Source organism: Homo sapiens, chromosome 6, assembly GCF_000001405.40.
Source record: "Homo sapiens chromosome 6, GRCh38.p14 Primary Assembly".
Taxonomy (NCBI): domain Eukaryota; kingdom Metazoa; phylum Chordata; class Mammalia; order Primates; family Hominidae; genus Homo; species Homo sapiens.
Genome location: NC_000006.12, coordinates 155,070,791 through 155,093,829, shown reverse-complemented (window position 1 = coordinate 155,093,829; position 23,039 = coordinate 155,070,791). Strand labels below are relative to the sequence as shown.

Sequence of the window (23,039 nt, the reverse complement as noted above, 5' to 3'; positions counted from 1 at the left end):
AAGCAGATAATCAGGCATGAATTTAGAAAGGGGGCCACTGACATACAAGCATTGAAAAGGGCCGCAGAGGCCATGTAGTCTGCCTTCCTGGTGCTTGGAGGAATCCTCTCTACAGAGCTCTTGATCTGCAGCCAACCAGTCGTCAGACACCACATCCGGCCCTGAGACGCTCACTATTGCAAAGAGGCACCATCTCATCTTTCCACAGCTCTATAGGAAAGTCTTCCTCACGTGAAACCCAAAGTGGCCTTTCACTACTGATACCTGCCGGTCCTAGTGCTTCCTGCAGGGGCAGATCAGACACAGCATCCCTGCTTCCCCTTACACATGACATCTGCTCAGACACTTCAAGGTCGGAATTGGGTTCCCTGCTAAGCTTACCACTTGCTAAGCTAAGCCCACTCCCTTCATCATCATGTACAGGACGCCCTTTCCACACCTTCCCCAATGGCAATCACCTTCCTCTTGCTATCAACGTGCATCTTCCATCTACGGTCTGGAGAAAGGGACAGAAGGACACTCAGGATTATTAAGCACCTACACTGTGAGGTAGGCACCATGCCAGGAGTGTGACATACATTTTCATATTTAATTCTCACAGCAATCCTCTTTGAACTGTATTATTATCATTATTTTACAGATGAGGAAACTGAGGCCAAGCAAAGTTTAGCAATTTACTGAAGGCCACAAAACAAGCACAACTGGAAAACTCAAACCAGGTCTGTCTGATACCAAAAAGACAACTATATTGTTATACACACAGAAAATGGCATGTTTGCAAACAGTTTTATTGTCACTGTTACTTATTAGAAGTATAACTTATTATAAGCAAGTCTATTCTTTCTGGTGATCTCATGAATGGACTGCTGTTTTCAATGCAAAACAAATTCTCCATGCAAACAAAACAAATTTCAAACTTGTGTTACCATTTAATGACCACTACCCAAATATATAAATATAAAATTTATTTTTTTGAGACAGAGTTTCATTCTTGTTGCCCAGGCTGGAGTGCAATGGTGCGATCTTGGCTCACCACAACCTCTGCCTCCCAGGTTCAAGTGATTCTCCTGCCTCAGCCTCCCAAGTAGCTGGGATTACAGACATGCACTACCAAGCCTGGCTAATTTTGTATTTTTAGTAGAGACGGGGTTTCTCCATGTTGGTCAGACTGGTCTTGAACTCCCGACCTCAGGTGATCCGCCTGCCTCAGCCTCCCAAAGTGCTGGGATTACAGGCATGAGCAAATATATTATTTTTAAACCTAATTTGTATATTGAATATATAAAAATCTGAGTATATACTAAATAAAACAGCAGAAATTTATATAACCCCTATACTCACATACTTAATCATAATCATTCTTCAAGGAAAATTTTATTATCCCCATTTTACATAAGAAGAAAGTGAAGCATCAAGAGGTTAATAACTTACCCAGCTTGCATGGTGGCTCATGCCTGTAATCCCAGCACTTTGGGAGGCTGAGACGGGCGGATCACTTGAGCCCAGGAGATTGAGACCAGCCTGAGCAACATAGCAAGACCTCGCCTCTACAAATTATTAAAAAATTAGCCAGGCCCAGTGGTGCGGGCCTATGGTCCCAGCTACTCAGGAGGCTGAGGTGGGAGGACTGCTTGATCCTGGGTGGGATTACGCCTGTAATCCCAGCACTTTGGGAGGCTGAGGCAGGCGGATCACTTGAGGCCAGGAGATTGAGACCAGCCTGAGCAACATAGCAAGACCTCGTCTCTACAAATTATAAAAAAAACTAGCCGGGCCCAGTGGTGTGGGCCTGTGGTCCCAGCTACTCAGGAGGCTGAGGTGGGAGGACTGCTTGATCCCGGGTGGTCGAGGTTGCAGTGAGCCAAGATCACGTCACTGCATTCCAGCCTGGGCAACAGAGCGCGTCGCTGTCTCAAAAAAATAGCAATAATAACCTACTCCAGGTCACTAGCAAGAAAATGTCAGAGACAGGATTCAAAGAACTCAGGCAGTCTGACTCTAAATAACTGTAGACCTTAGGCTTTCCAAATAGTGTATTTCAGCAGTAGTTTTGAACATCGTTAAAGCACAAACACCTCTCCAAGGCTAATTAGATACTACTTTTGGATATTCCAATGTAGATGATAAAAAAAAGAAAAAGGTCAACACAAACAAAGCTTACCAAAATTAGGATCAAAATTTCTAGCTTTAATATGTATTATATTTATAAATAAACCCAGAGATATTAGATAACTTCCTGTTTGCATCTAATCTAATGTTAAATTTGATCATAATGTGAGGGAGGAATTCACATTTCAAAAAAATGTTTAAACAGACAAACCTTTTAAATATCCTCCAGTGTGAATAAGTATCTCACCATGTGACATTGAGCAATTTACACAATGAGCCTCATTTAACCGTTCAACTCATACATTCAGACAAAACATATCTGCTGTGCAACAGATGCTGTTGTGGGCTCTGGAGACAGGTGAGGAACCAGGCAGAGAAGGTTCCTGCCCTTGTGGAGCTTCTGCTCTAAGGAAGGCGGAGACAGACAACAAGCCGATACATAAATATGCAAGGAGAAAACGATCAGTGAGGGACAAGGACTTTGCAGGCAACTAAGAGAGCGTGGCGTGGTAGCAGTGGCTGGGCGTCCTTTAGATTGGGTGGTCAGCGTCCTTCAGAGGGAGTACTTTGAGCTGAAACCCAAAAAGCATGAAGCAATCAGCCAAGAAAAGCTGGGGCAATCTAAATCAAACAGCAGAAGGTTATGCCTGGGAAGGTTATGTTCATCTGAGCGTGCTTCAGCTAAGCACGCACGAACTCCAGACACGGCAAACAGTCCAGGGAACTACCTGCCACCATTTCAAACGCCGCTGGGGAACTGTTCAGCTTTCCTGCTTTAGTACTTAACCTGCGACACCAACACATCCAATCAGTAAAACACCTCAGTCGGAATGAAACAGCCTTAAGGTCACAGTTGGAATCTGACCTTTCCTCAGTGGCTTCCTAAAATCCCCGTCCCCTGAGCTTACCTGATCTTACAACTCCAATTAGAAATTATATGCTCTCTGCGTTCTCAAGCAGGAGGTCCTATTTGGTCTGGAGTTTAAGTGTGTGCTCTATCAGTATGTGGCACATAAAAGGACGGAAACTAAAGCTGCCCAGGCTGCATCCTCTCCACCTAAGGTCCCAGAGAGGCCTGGCATACCCGTTTTCCACACTGAGTGGACCATCCAGCATATCTAATTAAAGTGCTTTTGTAATAATCTACTGAGCTCTGGAGCCCTGTTGCTTGCAGGAACCTCAATTATCAGCATTCAGCAAACCTGCTTTGGCTTTCCCCACTCAACTTCTCATACAAAGTGCAATTAACAGAGCTACGTGAGAATGTGGTGATTAAGCAAAGAAATACAGACTGACATATACTTTTAAAGCCTTTGAGATATACAAGTGCCTCAAACTTACCCACAGAGGAATGTGGAGGACACTTAGTGTAATCATTCATTCATCCAGAATGAGCTGGCTGAAGGTATCCTTGTCATTCATACACAGAGCCCTGGCAAAATAAAACAAAAACACAGAGGCAGTGAGAAATAATTTTTCAAAATCAGATTGTTATAATTGAAGCTCAGTTTCTCAGCATTCTGTTGTATCTTGGGCTTGATACAAGAAGGAAGAATCTGAAAGAGAAATCAAGAGTTAAGTGATTAACTATAAAGGAAAAAAGGTCTTCCCACATCCTAACTGGAGAAGCAGATTTACTGTAGATTTACTGCTTCATTTCATAATGTCATGACTAAGCCATTTGAAGATAGAATGGATGGAGGGAGGGGAGAGAGAAATAAATATAGATAAGTTAGACAGGAGATGGATAGATGGATGGATGGACAGACAGACTGACGGACGGACAGATGGATGGATGGATGATTGACAGACAGAGCAAGCCTACTGTGACCAAGCCACTACTCCAGATGCTAGAAATAAAGCGGTGAATGAGAGAGAAAATCTCGCTCTCACTGAGCTCCATTCAAGTGGAAATACACAGTTCAATAAACAAATAACAAAAATATCCTAGAGTGATACAGGCAATGCAGAGTCAATAGGGTAATGAGACAGTGAGTGACAAGTGGCTAAATTAAATTGGAAGATTAGGAATTGGCTCTCTGAAATGACAACTAGCCTGAAATCTGAATGGTATTTGAACTTAGAGAAATGATCCCCCAGGCAGAGGGATCAGCGAAGAAACACCATGTCTTGAGCCATTGTTACGGATTCTGGAGCAGAACTCAAGTGGGTAGTGCCAAAGGATCAGAATTTCATAACTTATTAAACAGATGAGGCCAGGCACGGTGGCTCATGTCTATAATCCCAGCACTTTGGGAGGCCAAGGTGGGCGGATCACTTGAGGTCAGGAGTTTGAGACCACTCTGGCCAGTACGGTGAAACCCCGTCTCTACTAAAAACACAAAAATTAGCTGGATATGGTGGCTCACGCCTGTAGTCCCCACTACTTGGGAGGCTGAGGCAGGAGAATTGGAGGCAGAGGTTGCAATGAGCTGAGATAGCGCCACTGCACTCCAGCCTGGGTGACAGAGAGACTCCATCCCCCCACACCCCCACCCCCCCGAAAAAAAACAGGTGGTTTCTGGATCCTCTCCTATTATGGAGAATAATACTTTCTTCCTGTATTTGATATGCTACCACCTGGTTATATATTAAAACTCATGGTCCATTAGTCAACACATCAGAAAGTACCTCTTTTTTTTCATTGTTTAAAATGTGAAACAGACTGCTTTCATAGTGAGACTTACCTTTTTAGAAGGCATGATATTAACTCTGTGATGTAAACAAGATACTGTTTTATGGCAATAACCATGTGTCCTTAACCCAGAATGCAGTCCTTGATAAAGAATGCAGACTTTAGGGCAGGGATGTCCAATCTTTTGGCTTCCCTGAGTCACACTGGAAGAGAAACTGTCCTGGGTGCCATCTAAAATACATCAACACTAATGATAGCTGATGAGCTTTTAAAAAAAATTGCAAAAAAGGTCTAATAATGTTTAAAGAAATTTTACGAATTTGTGTTGGGCTGCATTCAAAGCCATCCTGGGCCGCAGGTGGCCCACAGGCCATGGGTTGGACAAGCTTGCCTTAGAGCAAGGGGACTGAGATTGGAGTTCAAACCCCAGCCACTCCATGACCACCTCAGTGAGCTCAGCCCAGTTATTTAGATTGTCTGAGCCTCTGGTTTCTTCAACTATAAAATGGAAATATGATCTACACTACAGGGTTATTCTAACTGTTTAATGAAATAATGCACATAAAATACTTAATAAATTACTTGAAACATGTGACATACTCAAAGTAGCAAAAAACCACAACTAGACTTTCAGTGTAAATGGTCACTATTGAGAAAGGTTTGACTATCACAATGACTCATGCTATAGAAATACACCTATACCGGGGCCGGGTGCAGTGGCTCACGCCTGTAATCCCAGCACTTTGGGAGGCCGAGGTGGGCAGATCACCTGAGGTCGTGAGTTCGAGACCAGCCTGGCCAACATGGAGTGGCTGGGGTTTGAACTCCATGGAGAAACCCCGTCTCTACTAAAAATACAAAACATTAGCCGGGCGTGGTGGCGCATGCCTGTAATCCCAGCTACTCCGGAGGCTGAGGCAGAAGAATCACTTGTACCTGGGAGGCAGAGGTTGCAGTGAACGAGATCATGCCATTGCACTCCAGCCTGGGCAACAAGAGCAAAACTACGTCTCAAAAAAAAAAAAAAAAAAAAGAAAGAAAGAAAAAGAAATACACCTATACAACCTGGCATACTAAAAAGAACAGTTTTCATTTATAGGATATCAGGATTGGGATGGACCCATTTCCCTCATTCTACAGGTGAGAATTTAAAACTCAAAGAGGTAGTGTGATTTGACCAAGGCGACATAATTAGTTCAGAGATTTGTTATATCTGGTCAAGAATGCCTACCTTATAGAATACATTCCATATTTACTTAAAACTTTTAAATTTGCTTTGTCATTAACCCAGTATGGACAAATTTTTTATTTATTTTATTTTATTTATTTCATTTTTTGAGATGGAGTCTCACTCTGTCACCCAGGCTGGAGTGTAATGGCGCGATCTCAGCTCACTGCAACCTCCGCCTCCCGAGTTCAAGCAATTCTCCTGCCTCAGCCTCCCAAGCAGCTGGAATTACAGGCACCCACCACCACGCCTGGCTAATTTTTGTATTTGTAGTAGAGACAGGGTTTCACCATGTTGGCCAGGCTGGTCTCGAACTCCTGAGCTCAAGTGATCCACCTGCGTCAGCCTCCCAAAGTGCTGGAATTACAGGCGTGAGCCACTGCACCCAGCCGAAAAAAATATTTTCAAATGATAAGAAAAGAATACTGAATCAAGCTTCACTAGGCTCTGTCTAAATACATCATACTGACAATCTTTAAAAACCAAGACTTGTAATATTTTACTGATGGCCTCATAAATGATTTACTAACTGAAAACTATAAAATATAAGATCTGCCATATTTTAATGTTTCCAATGATAATAATGTTGGATCTCAAGCATCTGTTACATAACAGAACTTTCCACATGTTCATTCCAAATACCATGTGATTTCATGTTTTTTGGTTTCTATGCCTTTGCATATACTGTTCTCTACAGGGAACACCTCCCTGGAGAACTCCTAATTGCCCCTCAAGACCCAGCTTAAGTGTCTCTTCCTCTGATCACCTACCATCATACCCCGAACCTCACAGGGTTATTGCTCCCTCCTTCACCTCACCACTCTTTCTGATATAGGCAATTGCCTCGCAATTATTTCTTTTTCACTCATTTGTCTCCTTTACTAGAACTCACTTACCTTTCCCCTTTACTAGAACTGCTTTGAAAGTGAAGTACTTTGTTTCCCTGGTGCCTGACACAATTCCTTACTCATGGGTGCTTAATAAATGTGTTCATGAAATAACTGATTCGTCAAATTGCTAATACAACGTGATTAATATGTGGCTTGGCTTGCTTTTCCATCATATCGCCATAACTTGAGTTAAAGAGGAAGCTGCAGCTTAACTACTGGTCATTTTGGTGGTTTTTGTTGGGGTTTTTTTTTTTTTTTTCCAAGATGGAGCCTCACTCTGTTGCCCAGGCTGGAGTACAGTGGCGCGATCTCAGCTCACTGCAACCTCTGCCTCCTAGGTTCAAGCAATTCTCCCGCCTCAGCCTCCTGAGTAGCCGGGATTACAGGTGCACGCCACCACACTTGTCTAATTTTTGTATTTTTAGTAGAGATGGGGTTTTGCCATGTTGGTCAGGCTGGTCTCGAACTCCTGACCTCAGGTGATCCACCCGCCTCAGCCTTCCAAAGTGCTGGGATTACAGGTGTAAGTCGCCGTGCCCGGCCAACTACAGGTCATTTTGGATGGAAATGATTTTAAGCAGGATTATAGAATATTTAAGCTTAGAGCACATTGACTTCATCCCTGTTCACTTTGCAGATGAAGAAAGTGAAGTCCAGTAAAGATCAAGTAGACCTCTCATGTAGACAGCGGGAAAGAGCTAAGACTAGAACTCAGATCTCCAAACAGCTACAACAGCTCTGTTTCCAGCAATGACAAGTTACTGGTTCCAAGAATGCTCTTCCTTGGATCTCAGCGCCTTCCTCAGGACCCTCTCTGCGTTCCTCACATGCTCCAGTGCCACGTGAACAATGAAGCTTCCCTGAGCTGGACTGCAATCCAGCAAGTGGCTATTCTTTCAACAGTGGAGACTGGGCTTCGCTGCCAGGGAAAGTCCCATTTTAAGGGAGAATTTGCAGTGGGCCGGGACTGCAATATCTTGTGACCACAGAAAGATCAAACAGGGCACCTTGAGTATGTGAGTCTATGAGATCCAAGGTGGTGCTAGGTAAACTATATCTATAATAAAACTCAAGCAATGCTATGCTTTTGCTTACACAAAGAGTGCTTGTATCTCTCACAGCACATAGGTGCCACGTGTGGACAGAGTCATCAATCAAGACTGATGGCTCATGCTTTTATCAGCATGAAAACCAGCCAGTCCCGCAGCCTTGGAGCTGCCTGTTTGCACCATGACATCAGTGTAATTTTAATTTAACATGAACACACCTTACATTCTTTTCCCTTGAGCTTTGTGATGAAAAGTGGTTTTATTTTTACAGTGCTAGGGATTCTGCCCCATGTCCTACTCGAAAGCTGAATATAATCCAGACCTTCAACTACATCACAAAGTTGTTTTTTTTTTTAATGGCCACATCTAAGAAATACTACATGATTAGTCAATCTAGAAGCCTACTGCCAAGGACTGGGTGAAGTTCAGAGTGCCCAGAGTTTATAAAACTTTCATTGTCAGGTGAACCAGTGTGCAAGCCCACAGTACGCAGCACAACTGTCAATGCAGGTCAATGAGAAAAGGTGGGGAAGGAAAGAGAAAGTTACTACTTACCCTGTGCCCTTCAAACATGCCTCCCACCTCTACGTAAGTAGAATGCATTTGTTACTAAAAATTTTCTCTCAAATTCATGCCTTCTTCAAATTGTATCTTCTTTGTAGCCACCATCTCCCTGAATTTAAAACATGTTTTAAAGTTGCTGGGTTTACTTTAGCCTCGTTATCAGCTAGGCAGCTTATCAATTCAGAGATTCGACTCAATGTTTGTAAGAAAACAATACAGAAAGTGGGATGTTTTCCAGGACTGGGAGTGAGAAATGTAACTCCCATCTCCCTTAACCCCTCCTGTGACCCAGGTTTGTAGGATCTAACTGGGCCCTCCAGAGTCTCCATTTACAGGTGGATTACTTATTATCTCATCACTCAGGGCCCGTAGAGATTTCAGACATAATGAACAAACCATTCTGTGACTCTTATTCCAAGGCATTAGGTAAGACTACATCATAATGTGGTATGCCTTAAATAACAATTTTCACCAGCCTCCCACGTCCACACTAATGCACTGTTCCTGCACAAAGAACTAATGGAATCAGATGCTGCACTCAACAAAGGAAAACTGTAGAGTTACCCAGTAGACTATAGAATGGGAGAGAAGCTGCCATTCATGACAAAGGGATGACTAATTACAATGAAAACAGCAAGTTTCAGTCTATCCTCCCCAAAGGACAGACTCCTATACACATGGAGCACAGTATTTACTGAGTACTGTAAGCCAAGTTACAAAAAGACCGTTGTTATTTATAAAACAGCCCATGTGAAACACCAAAAAAAATCAATGGCCAGCTAGAAGGAGAACAAGGTATACCCATTTTGTTCACTGCTCTCCCTAGGCTGGTGATCACATCAGTCAATCTGGCTCCTGTTTAGAGTAAGTCTTTCCTGGGAGTCCCACAAGGGTTCACGTATCCAGTGACAAAACTCAAGGATACAAAAGTTAGCACTATTTTTTAGTTAATGACATTCAATTCAAGAAGTATTTGTTGAATATCTATTCTGTTCAAGTCACTATGCTAAGTGCTGGAAATACGATGGTGACACAGCTTGCTTCTGATCTTGCCTGTACACAAGCAAGCCATTAGTCCCAACACGTGTGGTGGGGAACATGGTTGGGGGTGGGGGTAAGAGGCTGTGAAGTGGCTCCTACCCCACCAGAGTGGCCCCTATCCCTGTCTTCAAGTAAGACTCAAATACAAGAATAGTAACACTCACACCACAGAAATTACCTACATGCAGTGCCCCAGGTAGATCAGAATGGATCTTTCTCCACTAGGATCCTATTCGTGTTTTAAAACAGGTCAGTAAGTTCTCTGACACTCCTCTTAGGAAGGGGAGGTGGGCAGCCCTATGCCCCCTTCACCTCGATTCTGCTTCAACCTATATAGTACAGCCAACGTGACACTAGGATTTCCAGGGCTGGGCCAAAAAATGCCAGGAGGTTTATGCCTGGTTCTCTTGGTGCATTTGCCCTGAAGCCCTAAGGCTACATTTATCTGGTTTCGTATGTCATCTGTTGCCACATTGTCCAGCATATAAGACTTTACTTCTGGAAATACTATGCCATCCCTTGCCAAGACAAAAGAAATTGACTTAGCATTGGTATCTAAAAGCTGCCACTGAATTCTGGCTTCCAGACAGAGGGATGATCCTCATCCAGTTGACAGACAAAACTCACCAGGCAAAGTGACTTTCTTCATTAGGGAACAGCAATATAATAATTCCTCATCACTTCCAAATGAACCACACAATCCATGCCCCAAGAATTACACATATTTAGTATCTGGGGAGGCTTGTGCAATATTTACAACATGCACCATGTTTATGGCAGCAGGCTAGTCCTGTGGACAACAGGGGCAGACAATCACATTGCACATTAGAAATAAAGCTGCACGGGGCCAGGAAACCAGCTGTGTGGCCACAGCAGTAAATGCCTGCTTCCCTCTTCCTCCTTCCTATGAAATAAGTGTCTTGCCCATCTCTCTCTCTCTCTCTCTTTTTTTTTTTTTTTTTTTTGAGATAAAGTCTCACTCTGTTGCCCAGACTGGAGTGCACTGGCACGATCTTGGCTCACTGTAACCTCTGCCTCCAGGGTTCAAGTGATTCTCCTGCCTCGGCCTCCTGAGTAGCTGGCATTACAGGTGCACGCCACCATCCCCGGCTAATTTTTGTACTTTTAGTAGAGACAGGGGTTTCGCCATGTTCACCGAGCTGGTCTTGAACTCCTGACCTCAGGTGATCCACCTGTCTCGGTCTCCCAAAGCGCTGGGATTACAGGCATGAGCCACTGTGCCCGGCCCCACCTCTACTTCTTTTCCAGCCCTGTCAATCAATACTCAGAACCATCTCATCATCAGTCCTGGCAAAGAGAGATGAGGCGAGAGAAGAAAGAAGGAATAAGATTCATAAACAAATAGAAGAGAATGATTTTGGGGAGGGAGTGTTAAAAAGTAGCAGGGACTCTGGATTATCCCTTCCATATCCCTCACCATCTGTCAGAACCTCCCACCTAGTTAACTTCACCAATAAAAGCTCCAAGTATAGTAAGGCTCTCTCTCTACAATAGGCAAAATACCCTACTTTAACAGCTAAAGGAACTACCAAAAGACATGATATCTATCCATTCACTAAAGGAACAGCTTGCACTTCTACGATATTTATTTATTTATTTATTTATTTATTTATTTATTTATTTATTGGGGTTTTTTTGGGTTGAGATGGAGTTTTACTCTTGTTGCCCAGGCCGGAGTGCAATGGTACAATCTTGGCTCACTGCAACCTCCGCCTTCTGGGTTCAAGTGATTCTCCTGCCTTAGCCTCCCGAGTAGCTGAGATTACAAGTGTGTGCCACCACGCCCAGCTAATTTTGTATTTTTAGTAGAGACAGGATTTCTCCATGTTGGTCCAGCTGGTCTTGAACTCCCGACCTCAGGTAATCCACCCACCTCAGCCTCCCAAAGTATTGGGATTACAGGCGTGAGCCACAGTGCCTGGCCTATTTTATTTAGTTAGCTAGTTTTTAGAGACAGGGTCTTGCTCTGCTGCCCAGGCTGGAGTGCAGTGGCATGATCATGGCTTGCTGCAGCGTCTCCCTCCCAGACTTAAGCAATCCTCCCGCTTCAGCCTCCTGAGTAGCTGAGACTATACGTATGCACCACCACACCTGGCTATTTTTTTATTTTGTGTAGGGACAAGGTCTCACTGTGTCACCCAGGCTGGTCTCGAATTTTTGGTCTCAAGTGATCCTCCCACCTCGGCCTCCCAAAGTGCTGGGATTACAGGTGTAAGCGACTGCGCCTGGCCTATTAGTACGATATTATCCTTTTCTTTACCCCATCCTTAGATTGAGCAAAGTGCTTCTTTTCAGTACTGAGGCAGGATAGGGATGAAAGAGGTGAATAAATAAAACCAAATGGGGGACCACTGAATAACTACTGAGGCAGAAGATTGGCACAACAGCTGATGAAAAAGGTGGCTTGAGCGAGAACAAAAATGCAAGCAGCAGCTACCCTACAAGAGGGATTCAAGTGCTCCTTAAGAGAAAGTCAGGGGGTAAAAAAAACGAGAGATTTACTGACCTGACAACAAGAAAGAAACATTCACACATCACTTGAAAGGGCAAGCACCAAACAAATTCCTCAACCACTTTTGTATCAAGCAGTGTGTTCAAACCTTTCACGGAGGCTGAGCCATCCCTATGGAACTGTGGCTTAAACAGCCCTCAACAAGTACCTGTGGAATAAGTGGCTTTCAGGGAGCCTCTGCCTGCCTGGGCTCTGTGTGAATGGTTCCTAGAAGTTAACCATGGCTGGACAGGGACTCCTAGCTTTATCTCAGGGCTCAGTTGACTGAGCCAAGTGCATTTTCCAAACGGTAACTTTACCTCATTCCAAGACTAGACATAATTTCTGAAAAGTGGCATGTTATGGGAAAAATACATTGTGGCTTTTTTTTTTTTTCAGAAGACTCATTTATAATAAAGACAGTGTGACCAATGATCCCTTTCCCAATGCCTTGAAAGTAGATAATTGTTGAATGACTGTAAGTACATGGGCGGGGGGAATGAGTGAATCAATGAAGGAAGAAACAAACAGATGCACGAGCAGATGGAGATGCCAGTCATTTCTGCGGTCACAGAATCCCTGGACTTAAGCAGAATCTGGAAAGATCTGTTCTCAAAGGCTCTAATGCTATAGGCTGCCACAAATGACACCAAGGGTGGTTAAAATATTTTACCCTCTTTCTTTTTCAAAGCTGTCACACTTTTCCTTCCTGTAGACAAAGCAAAAGCTAACGATTCACTAAACAAAGAAATATTTCCTGACTGGCCCCCTCACTGTGGACCTCCAGGAAACAATGATTTCAGAGGCATGAGCTTAGCTGAGAAAGTGAGTGCTACAGACCTCTCCAGAGAAGAATCGAGCTCATCCCAGGCAAGGTTCATTTCAAGATCTACTTCAACTGTCACGCTGCCCTCTGGGGATATCTCACAGGTTCATCCCAAGACTGGGGATGTTGGTCAGGATGGGAAGCATTATTTCCAAAGCTACTTTATAGCAACATACTAACTGTACTTTCTGGGTAACTTAAAAGGCGCCATTTTTGACCTGGCACTTGAAGATGCCACGTTGCAGCTGGGCACAGTGGCTCACGTCTATAATCCCAGCACTCTGGGAGGCTGAGGTGGGCGGATCATGAGGTCAGGAGTTCGAGACCAGCCAACATGGTGAAACCCCGTCTCCACTATAAATACAAAAATTAGCTGGGCATGGTGGCGCACACCTGTAATCCTAGCTACTCAGGAGGCTGAGGCAGGGGAATCGCTTGAACCTGGGAGGCGGAGGTTGCAGTGAGCAGAGATTGTGCCACTGTACTCCAGCCTGGGGGACAGAGCAAGACTCTGTCTCCCAGAAAAAAAAAAAAGGATGCCATGTTGCTTTACCTAAACTTCTGTCCAAAGCTAAATATCTCAGAACAAGAAAAGCTGTGGTTATATACCTTGCCCACAAAATGTAGTTTTGTAATAAATTCTCTCTTAAGCACTCTCCGTAAGTGTTTTCATTTCCTCCCACTGACAACCAGTCCAAGGGAGATAAAGAGGCACCAGCCCACCGAGAAGGCCCTTGTGATACCTGTGTCAGCGGTATGGACATCAGAGATAAGGTTTTGAACAATGCTAAGGAGGATAAAGCTGACAGCCACGGGGCGGATAACGTGCCTCTCTGGCAAGGGAGAAAAACACTTGACAGAAGGCTACTTTGGGTTGTGATTCATCAATGAATTTTGTTGAAAGGAACACATGAGAGTTTCCAGGGGTCAGAGAGCTGTTCCTGTTTCATTTTACCATCATCAGAACGATCCAAGCAGCAAATCCACATAAGAAACTTTTGGGGTTATGTTTTTTGTTTTTTGTTTCTGAGACAAGGTCTCACTCTATTAACCAGGCTGGAGTGCAGTGGCACAGTCTCGTCTCACTGCAACCTCTGCCTCCCAGTTTCAAGCGATTCTCCTACCTCAGCCTTCTGAGAAGCTGGGATTACAGACATGCACCATCACGCCCAGCTGATTTTTTGTATTTTTAATAGAAATGGGATTTCACCATGTTAGCTAGGCTAGTCTCGAACTCCTGACCTCAAGTGATCCACCCGCCTAGGCCTCCCAAAGTGCTGGGATTACAGGCGTGAGCCACTGTGCCTGGCCTCTATTAGAAATTTTTTGAACAAAGCAAATGCTAGGATCCATAAAGAGTCAGCTCCAAGTTTCACAAGATGAACATCTGAACCCCCAGCTGTACTGACTATAGCTGACAAGTCAGTCATTTCACATACAGTAACATTTGTCCCAATTTCTAGCAAGGTTGGTGTGCTAGGCACTATGCATTAATTACACAAGGAGGAATCAGGCACAGCACCAGTAATCAAAGGACCTAGAGCCAAAGGGGAAAAAAGACAGCAAAGACATCTGACAAATTCCAGAAAGAGGCAAGATAAACTGGCCATCTGGGTCCAGGCGAGGAGGCTCACGTCTGTAATCCCGGCACTTTGGGAGGCCAAGGCCGGAAGATTACCTGAGGTCAGGAGTTTGAGACCAGCCTGGCCAACATGGTGAAACCCAGTCTCTAGTAAAAATACAAAAATTAGCTGGGCATGGTGGCGGGTGTCTGTAATCCCTGCTACTCGGGAGGCTGACGTGGGAGAATCGCTTGAACCCAGGAGGCAGAGGTTGTAGTGAGCCGAGATCGCACCACTGCACTCCAGCCTGGGCAAGAGAGAAAGACTCTGCCTCAAAAAAACAAAAACAAAAAAACAAAGATAAACTGGTCATCCAGAATGAGGGAAAGAAACTATCCTTGGTTTACAAAAAAAAAAGAAAAACACCAAAAAACACAAGAAAATCCATTAAATGTATCTGAAACAGGATTTCAGGCAGCAATAACCACTAAGATCATCAAGTCAAACTAGAGGAAGATATATTTGGGATCCAGCTTAAAGGGAGAAGCAAACAAAACACACCTAACGGAAAACATCAACTTCTGTAATGAAACAAACTTCAGAACTTTAAAAAGGATTTGAAGAGTGTGTGGAATCTACTTCCAGAGAGATAAAGGCAGATGCTGCACCCATTAAATGAGAGCAGACTGGGAGCAGGAAAGATTGCCTGCCAGAGGCTGTTAGGATCACCGAGCATGAGAGCACCTCTCCTGGGTGGGAGTTCAGACAGAGGCGGGATGATGTCAGGGCAGAGCTGGAAAGCCTTGCTGGCTGGCCTGGCCTTGAAGAATGTGTCCGAGTTGGACGTGAGGAACCAGGGAGGCCCAGGATCCCCATAAGGAGGACAGCATGGGTGAAATGACAGAGAAACCAGGAAGCCTGAAACCACAAAAGACACAGAGAAGCACCAAGTCTGATGGTCCCATGCGTGACGTGAGTACAAGGAGAAAAGCAGATAAGGATGCCTAATGCTGGCAGCTACTAAAGGCCAAGCTGTCACTTGTGCTTTTTTCATTAAAGTGAACTCGAGGCTGGGCGCAGTGGCTCACACCTGTAATCCCAGCACTTTCGGAGGCCTAGGCGGACAGATCACTTGAGTCCAGGAGTTCATGACCAGCCTGAGCAACATGACAAAAGCCCATTTCCACAAAAAATAAAAAAAATTAGCCAAACATGGTGGCATATGCCTGTAGTCCTAGCTACTTGGGAGGCTGAGGTAGGAAGATCACTTGAGCCCAGGAGGAGCCGTGACTGCACCACTGCACTCCAGCCTGAGTGACAGAGTGAGACCCTGTCTCAAAAAAAAAAGTCAAGTTGGAAAGCAGAAGTCAGAGGTCAGCAATCAGAGAGCCCCTCCCACAGCACTAGACTGTCACCATTAATCAATATTGAGCAAGGATTAATTGCAAAGCAGTTACATGTTACATCATTACTTGTTAAATCCAAAAGTGTGTTTTCAAAGTAGAAAGAGCTCATTCATAAGAATGCCAGCCACATGAATCAATAGGCCAGTGAGGCGCTACAGGCAAACCCCAGGTCTGCCACTTGGTAGGGTTTGGGTCACTTACCTGTCTCTCTACAGCTAATTTCCCCCCTGCAAAATGAAAACAATTACGCCCACCCTCCAGGGCTTCTGTGAAAACAAAATGAGAAAATATCTTTCAATTACCTGACACACTGCCCTATGACAAGTTAAGAAAGTTAAATAATAAATGTTAGTTCTCTCCTCCCGTCCTGGTTTCTCTAATCGTTGCCATGAAATGCAGGCTTTCTTCCATCGTAAGCAGCACTAATAAAAACTTCGAAATATTTTTAACAAGCGAAAGGCTAACAAGATGACTCAGTAATACCAAGGCCAGGCCTCAATGTCCGTTACTAACAAATACTGAAACCCTTTTTAAAAAATATTTCTCTAGGAACTGAGTGAGTAAATTTTACGTCAAAGGGAAAATTGAGAAGGCAGCACAATGAGACTTGGAGATTGCTGTGCTTCAATATCTATAGTAATATTCTAAAAATATTTTCTTAATATTCTAAAATCAATAGCAATTACATTATTTAGGGCATTGAGGCTTCCTCCAACCCCAGGCTAGCATGGAAGTCTTCTGAATGGTCAAGTTATTATAGATCCTTTTCTGAGCTGAGCCTAAGGCTAAGCCTATAGGGTTCCTGTTCTTTAAAAAAAAAAAAAAAATTACTTATCACTAAAAAGAATAGTGAACATGCTTTAGGAGTTTATAGAACAGCTTCCTGTTTTTCAAGCCCAATGTACAATAAACTATGGGAATTACTGATAAATTAGCATGAGTTATGACAAATGTATTCATAAACGTTATGTATGTGAAATAAAAGGAATTTGTAGAAAAGGATATGAATTTCGACCGGGTGCTATGGCTCATGCCTGTAATCCCAGCACTTTGGGAGGCCGAGGAGGGTGGATCATCCGAGGTCAGGAGTTCGAGACCAGCCTGGACAACATGGCAGAACTCCGTCTCTACTAAAAATACAAAAATTAGCCAGGCATGGCGGTACACGCATGTAATCCCAGCTACTCGGGAGGCTAAGGCAGGAAAATCGCTTGAACCTGGGAGGTGGAGGTTGCAGTGAGCCACAATCACGTGCCACTGCACTGCACTGTCAGCCTAGGCATCAGAGCAAGACTCTGTCTAAAAAAAAAGAAAAGAAAAGGATGTGAATTTCAAACACTGAGTAGCAGGGATGTGACTAAGGGTTTGACCTACGTTATATTTTCAGGATTTTGCTGTTCTCCTAGTTGTCCACCCAGCAACCAATCCCCACCTCTCTCAGTTAACAAATTAGAAAGTCCATACCAATTAGCATCAAATTACAATTACTAGGCCTAAATTCTTTGTACTTCCCCCTAAGCCATAATTGCAGAATTTCCTTCTACTGAAAGCATTTCAGACCTTTAATTTTAATTACTTCGGCATGGAATTAGCAACATATTTCCCATAGGCATTTTATTACCTATTATTTCGTAAGGATGAATAACTAAAACCTCAATGAGAAAATGACTGTAGATGGTGCAGGGTGGGAAGAGGATGACACCCACATTTATTGATTTTTGGAACGCCACAGAGTAATATAATTTGAGCCGAGATGTCAGGTCCCTGAACAAATGCTCCACCCACTCCCACCTCTCAAGCCACCCCAGGAAGCTCCATCCCCCATGCCTCACGCCCCAACCCAATTATTATGAAGGATCTGAAACTTTTTGAGCACCAACATGACACCGCAAGTGGAAAATTCTGCACCTGACCTCATGAGACAGGTCACAGTCAAAATGCAGACGCTTCTAGTCAAAACACAGCATTGCAGGTGGAGACTGAAAACCTGCCCTGTCTGTTGTTGGCGTGGTTTAACAGCTGATGTGGGTATTCGGGGGATGCTATGCTGTTGCTTCGCTACACGTTATTTTTTCAGTGTATTGATAGTATGTCATATGAATAAGTGTAAGAAAATGATCACTTTTTGGTAATCATACGAATTAAGGAATAATGGTGATAGTATACAACCACAGATTGTTCACACGGATGGCAGAAATAGTGACACCTTTGCTTTCTGGCAGCAGTTCAATGTACCTTAACTTTGTTTCATGCACAAAATTCTTTCGAATATAAAATTACCGTCGGGCTATGCATATAAGGTATCTATGAAACATAAACAAATTTCATGTCTAGATTTGGGAAACATCCCCAGGCTATCTCATTATGTATATGCAAATATTCAAAAATCTGAATAATTCAAAATCCAAAACACTTCTGGTCCCATGCATTTCAGATAAGGAATCTTCAACCTTTATTCTCTCCTTCTGTGTTATTACACACTAATTCTTTTTGTCAAATCTTGTTCTCACCTCATTCAAAATCCTAGGGACTCCCCAGTGGGATCAGGGGAGGAAAGCTATGGTAGAGTCACTGTGGCCCAACCCTTAAGAAAAGTAAAATAAAAACACAAGGATGACAGCTGTCTTGAAGAGTTGGTTGTTGGGTTTTTTTTTTTTTCATTCCCAAGTAACGACACAAAAGGCCAATATTCCATTTAGTTTATCGTCATCTAGCTACAACAGACCATAGCTACATTTAAAATGTTCCTATGATCATTAGCACAGTTTTGAAAACATTCTGTACTATTAATAATTATGCAGAGAATTTTTCTTTTTACTTTGTCAACTTGAACATTTAATCCAACCCAGCCTCCCCTCACCTCCTACATTTAGTCCCTTCCCGCTGTGAGAGAGTAACCTGGAGTAGCCAGGATTGCATTCCTTGCCCACTGCCCTCTGGCCCTGTACCACACCCTGCCACCCTGGTCCAGAGCCGCGGCTGCACCCACCGTCCTTATCCAGACTTATCCAGAATTGCATCGAGACCCATTCACCACTCACCATTTGACCAGCTGCCCCTCCACCCTCTGACTCCCCAGCGCTGTGGTCAGAAGGTCCCATCTCCACCTCTACTGACAATCCTCAGAGGTTTTTTTTTTTTTTTTTTTTTTTTTGAGACAGAGTCTCCACCCAGGCTGAATCCTCAGAGGTTCTAACGCTATTTCAAAGACCGCTGGGATCAGCTCTGAAGACTAAAGTGCATCAGTGGCTTTAGGAACTAACAGCCTCTTAGTCTCTTAGAAAGAACGTAATAAACACACAAGAAAAAGCCTTCTTGATAATAATTTGGAAGAACATTTGAAATAAACTTATCGTTACAGGCTAAGTGGGGTGGCTCATGCCTGTAATCCCAGCACTTTGGGAGGCCAAGGCAGGCGGATCACGTGAGGTCAGGAGTTCGAGACCCACCTGGCCCACGTGGCGAAACCCCGACTCTACTAAAAATATAAAAATTAGCCAGGTGTGGTGATGGGCGTCTGTAGTCCCAGCCACTCAGGAGACTGAGGCAGGAGAATCCCTTGAACCTGGGAGGTGGAGGTTGCAGTGAGCCAAGATCATGCCATTCCAGCCTGGGCGACTGAGCGAGACTCCACCTCAAAAAACAAAAAAACAAACAAAAAAAAAGCTTATCATTACTTTAAATTAATTAAATAAAATTAATATTCTTAAACCTTACACAGATATTTTAAAGTCATGGTGCACTATTTTACAAAGGAAAACTTTAGAAGTTAACTCTGATATGGAGAGGAAGTCAAAATTAAGTTTGTCGTTAGGAATTTTCTTTTCATTAGATCCCTTGTAGCCATATCAACAAATCAATAATAATATCAGGTATTGCTGAGGCATGACAGTGCATGATTGAAGTAGGACCTGGTATCATAATGGTGTCATCAATACAGGATAGCAACTGTGGTGCATCTGGGTTGAGATCACAAATCAGTATCTTGGCTCAAGCGTTGAGTTCCCAACAAGTTGCTCTGGGGCAGGCACCCTTACGTCTCTCTCCCCATCCAGAACATTGCATTTTCCACCTACCAGCCTCAAAGGGATTTTGTGGGGATTACCAATGTCTGAAAGATCTTTCATCTTTGAGATGAAAGGTCCTAATGAGTATTTTGTTGAGAAGCACTCCCACTCTGCCCTATGGGAAGGTTCCAAACTCCTCTTCTAAGGGTATCTACTGCAGGTAGGAAAATGTTACGTTTGAAGTAGAAATCGTAATAGACTTTTAATTATAAGCAAGCGGGGTAGCTCGCTGTTAAGCAGAGACCAGAGACTCTTCAATTCTTTTTTTTTTCTTCTCAGCTGCTCTGGTGGGTGTGGCCTGGAGCCTCACTTTCTTGCTCTGTAAGTCCAGGTTAGGCACCCAAAGCCACTATGAGAAGCAGGGTTTATAATGAGAGGAAATGGAACCAAAGTGGAAATATCTGTATAATATCACAATTATATAAAGTAGGACTTGGCTATGGACGCAGGCCCTTCTATAAAAGTACTCAGTGAATCTGGCCAGGCACGGTGGCTCACACCTGTAATCCCAGCACTTTGGGAGGCCGAGGCGGGTGGATCACTTGAGGTCAGGAGTTAGAGACCAGCCTGGCCAACATGGTGAAACCCCATCTCCACTAAAAATACAAAAATTAGCCAGGTGTGGTGGCACACGCCTGTAATCCCAGCTACTTGGGAGGCTGAGGCACAAGAATCGCTTGAACCCGGGAGGTGGAGGTTGCAGTGAGCCGAGATTGTGCCACTGCACTCCAGTCTGGGCAGCAGAGCGAGACTTAGTCTAAAAAAAAAAAAAAAAAAAAAAGAACTTAATCAATCTGAAGCAAGAAAAGCACCAGGCACAGCAAATAATGGATAATTCTTTATAAAGTCCTTTAATCTCTAACCTTTAATAACAGATCTTAGGCATGAAAAACACCAATTTATAAATGGTCTCTAAAAGTAAACTTTGTTCTTAATAGCAAATATGGATTTTAATTGTGCTAACTATAGACTACAGTTCATCTTTAGTAACACTTTTCATTCATCACATAATCCAAAATAAGGACGAACCCTCGATGCAACTTCTTGAGGCTCCGTCCTCTGTTGGCTTCAGTGGCTCCCTGACGACAGGTGATTCCCTGCCCCACAACTGACCCAGCCTCCTTCCTGAACTCCTCCCTCTGTGCCCACCTCCTGGGCTGGCCAGCATTTGTCAGTGCTCCAGGCTTGGTCCTCATCTCTGTGTCTTCAATATTCTCTTCCAGGCTGACTTCACGGCTTTCACTATCATTGACGACAACCAAGACTCTATTTCTTCTGAGTTCCAGACCCACTTACCCACCTACCAGATGTACCACCTCAAAAAATCAACATGACCCAAACTCGTTATTCTTTTTCAACCCTACCCTAACCCCTTATCACCTGGCCCCCCTTTCTGTGCATCCAAACCAGGATAATGGTGCCTCTGTCCAGCCGCTCTGGAAAGACAGGAACCCATCAATTACCCTAGGCTTGCTTCTCCTTTCCCTCATCATGCACACCAAAATGGCCATCAAATCCTCTGGCAGGTACTTCCTAAGTAACTCTTTAATGTATGCCTCCCTCTCCTTTGCTGCACTGAGTTCGTTCAGCCCTCATAGGCTGATCCTAGCCCGATGCCTCGGTTGTTTCCTACTGGAGGATTTCCAGTCCTTTCTCTCTCCACAAATCTCTCCTCCACACAGCAGCCAGGGGAAAATTCTAAAACACCAATTTGATCCTGTTATGCTCGAGTTTGAAACCTTTCAATGTCATCCATCCCTCACAATTAATACTTCTTTGCATGACATACAAAACTCTACTGACCTTTCCAGCTCCTGTCCTCCCAGCCACCAATGTAAATTCCTTGTAGTCCACATCATACCATGTGTTCCAAATGCCTCCATGCCTTTGGTCCTAGCTGACACGCTCTCCTCTGCTTTAGAAGCTTGACAAATTTCTCCTCATTCTTAAGAGCCACTTCAGCGGTTCATTCTAAAACGTCTTCCCTAACAACACATAACAGAGATAATAATACTTTTATTTTATTACTTTTTTTTTTTTTTTTTGACACAGAGTTTCCCTCTGTTGCCCAGCATGGAGTGCAGTGACGCGATCTCGGTTCACTGTAACCTCCACCTCCCAGGTTCAAGTGATTCTCCTGCCTCAGCCTCCCAAGTAGCTGGGATTACAGGCATCCACCACCACACCCAGCTAATTTTTGTAGTTTTTAGTAGAGATGGGGTTTCACCATGTTGGCCAGGCTAGTCTTGAACTCCTGACCTCAGGTGATCGGCCTCTGAAAGTGCTCGGATTACAGGCGTGAGCCACCGCGCCCGGCCAATAATTCTTTACTTTCAGGTGTATCACTGCACCTTGCACAGATCTCTGTTCAAGCACTTACCATGCTATGCAGGAAGTATTCACTTGCATGCCCATCTGTTTCACTAGGGCCTGAGCTCTGTTCAATGAGTCTTTGCTCAGCTCTGCCTGATGCAGGGCATAGTAAACAATATCTGGGCACTGAGTATTGAATAACAACTTAATAAACAAATACAAGTTCTGGCATATGGTCATCTTAACGTTTAATAAGTCCAGTCTAAAATGCTGCTTCCGCTTTCTTCCCATTATCCAGAAATCCCAAGTCATGTAAGTTCAGGTGTTCTCTGGATCTTGATGAAGATCCGTGGAGACGTGCTCCAAAGCTGTCTGGAAAGCCAACACATAACCATTCATTTCTGTAACACATAAACACACCTGTCTCTAAATATGTGTCTTTTTTTCTTTTTTTGACACTGAGTCTCATTTCTGTTGCCTAAGCTGGAGCGCAGTGGTGTGATCATGGCTCACTGCAACCTCTGCCTCTCGGGCACGAGCCATCCTCCCCCCTCAGCCTCCCAAGCTGCTGGGACTACAGGCATGCACAACCATGTCCCACGAATTTTTTTCATTAGTAGTAGAGACAGGGTTTTGCCATGTTGCCCAGGCTGGTCTCGACCTCTTGGGCTCAAGTGAACGACCCACTTTGACTTCCCAAAGAGCTGGGATTACAGGCGTGAGCTACCATGCCTCCCCTAAAAAATATTTCTTACAGTACATTCAAAACCCAAGCTGAGCCAATAGGGTCAGTCATGTAGACACACATAAATAAAGGAGCTCTTTGGGAACTAAGTC

At 43.9% G+C, this 23,039-nt stretch overlaps 1 protein-coding gene across 2 annotated transcripts in view; it reads right to left on the bottom strand.

Moving 5' to 3' along the window:
* The window catches only part of TIAM2 (TIAM Rac1 associated GEF 2), a 262,409-nt gene that overhangs the window by 163,894 nt on the left and 75,476 nt on the right, over nt 1-23,039 (bottom strand). For both annotated transcript variants that reach the window (NM_012454.4, NM_001384546.1), the window contains exon 2: nt 3,451-3,541. The gene's annotated coding sequence lies outside the window, so the exon portion shown is untranslated. The remainder of the gene's footprint in view (nt 1-3,450; nt 3,542-23,039) is intronic.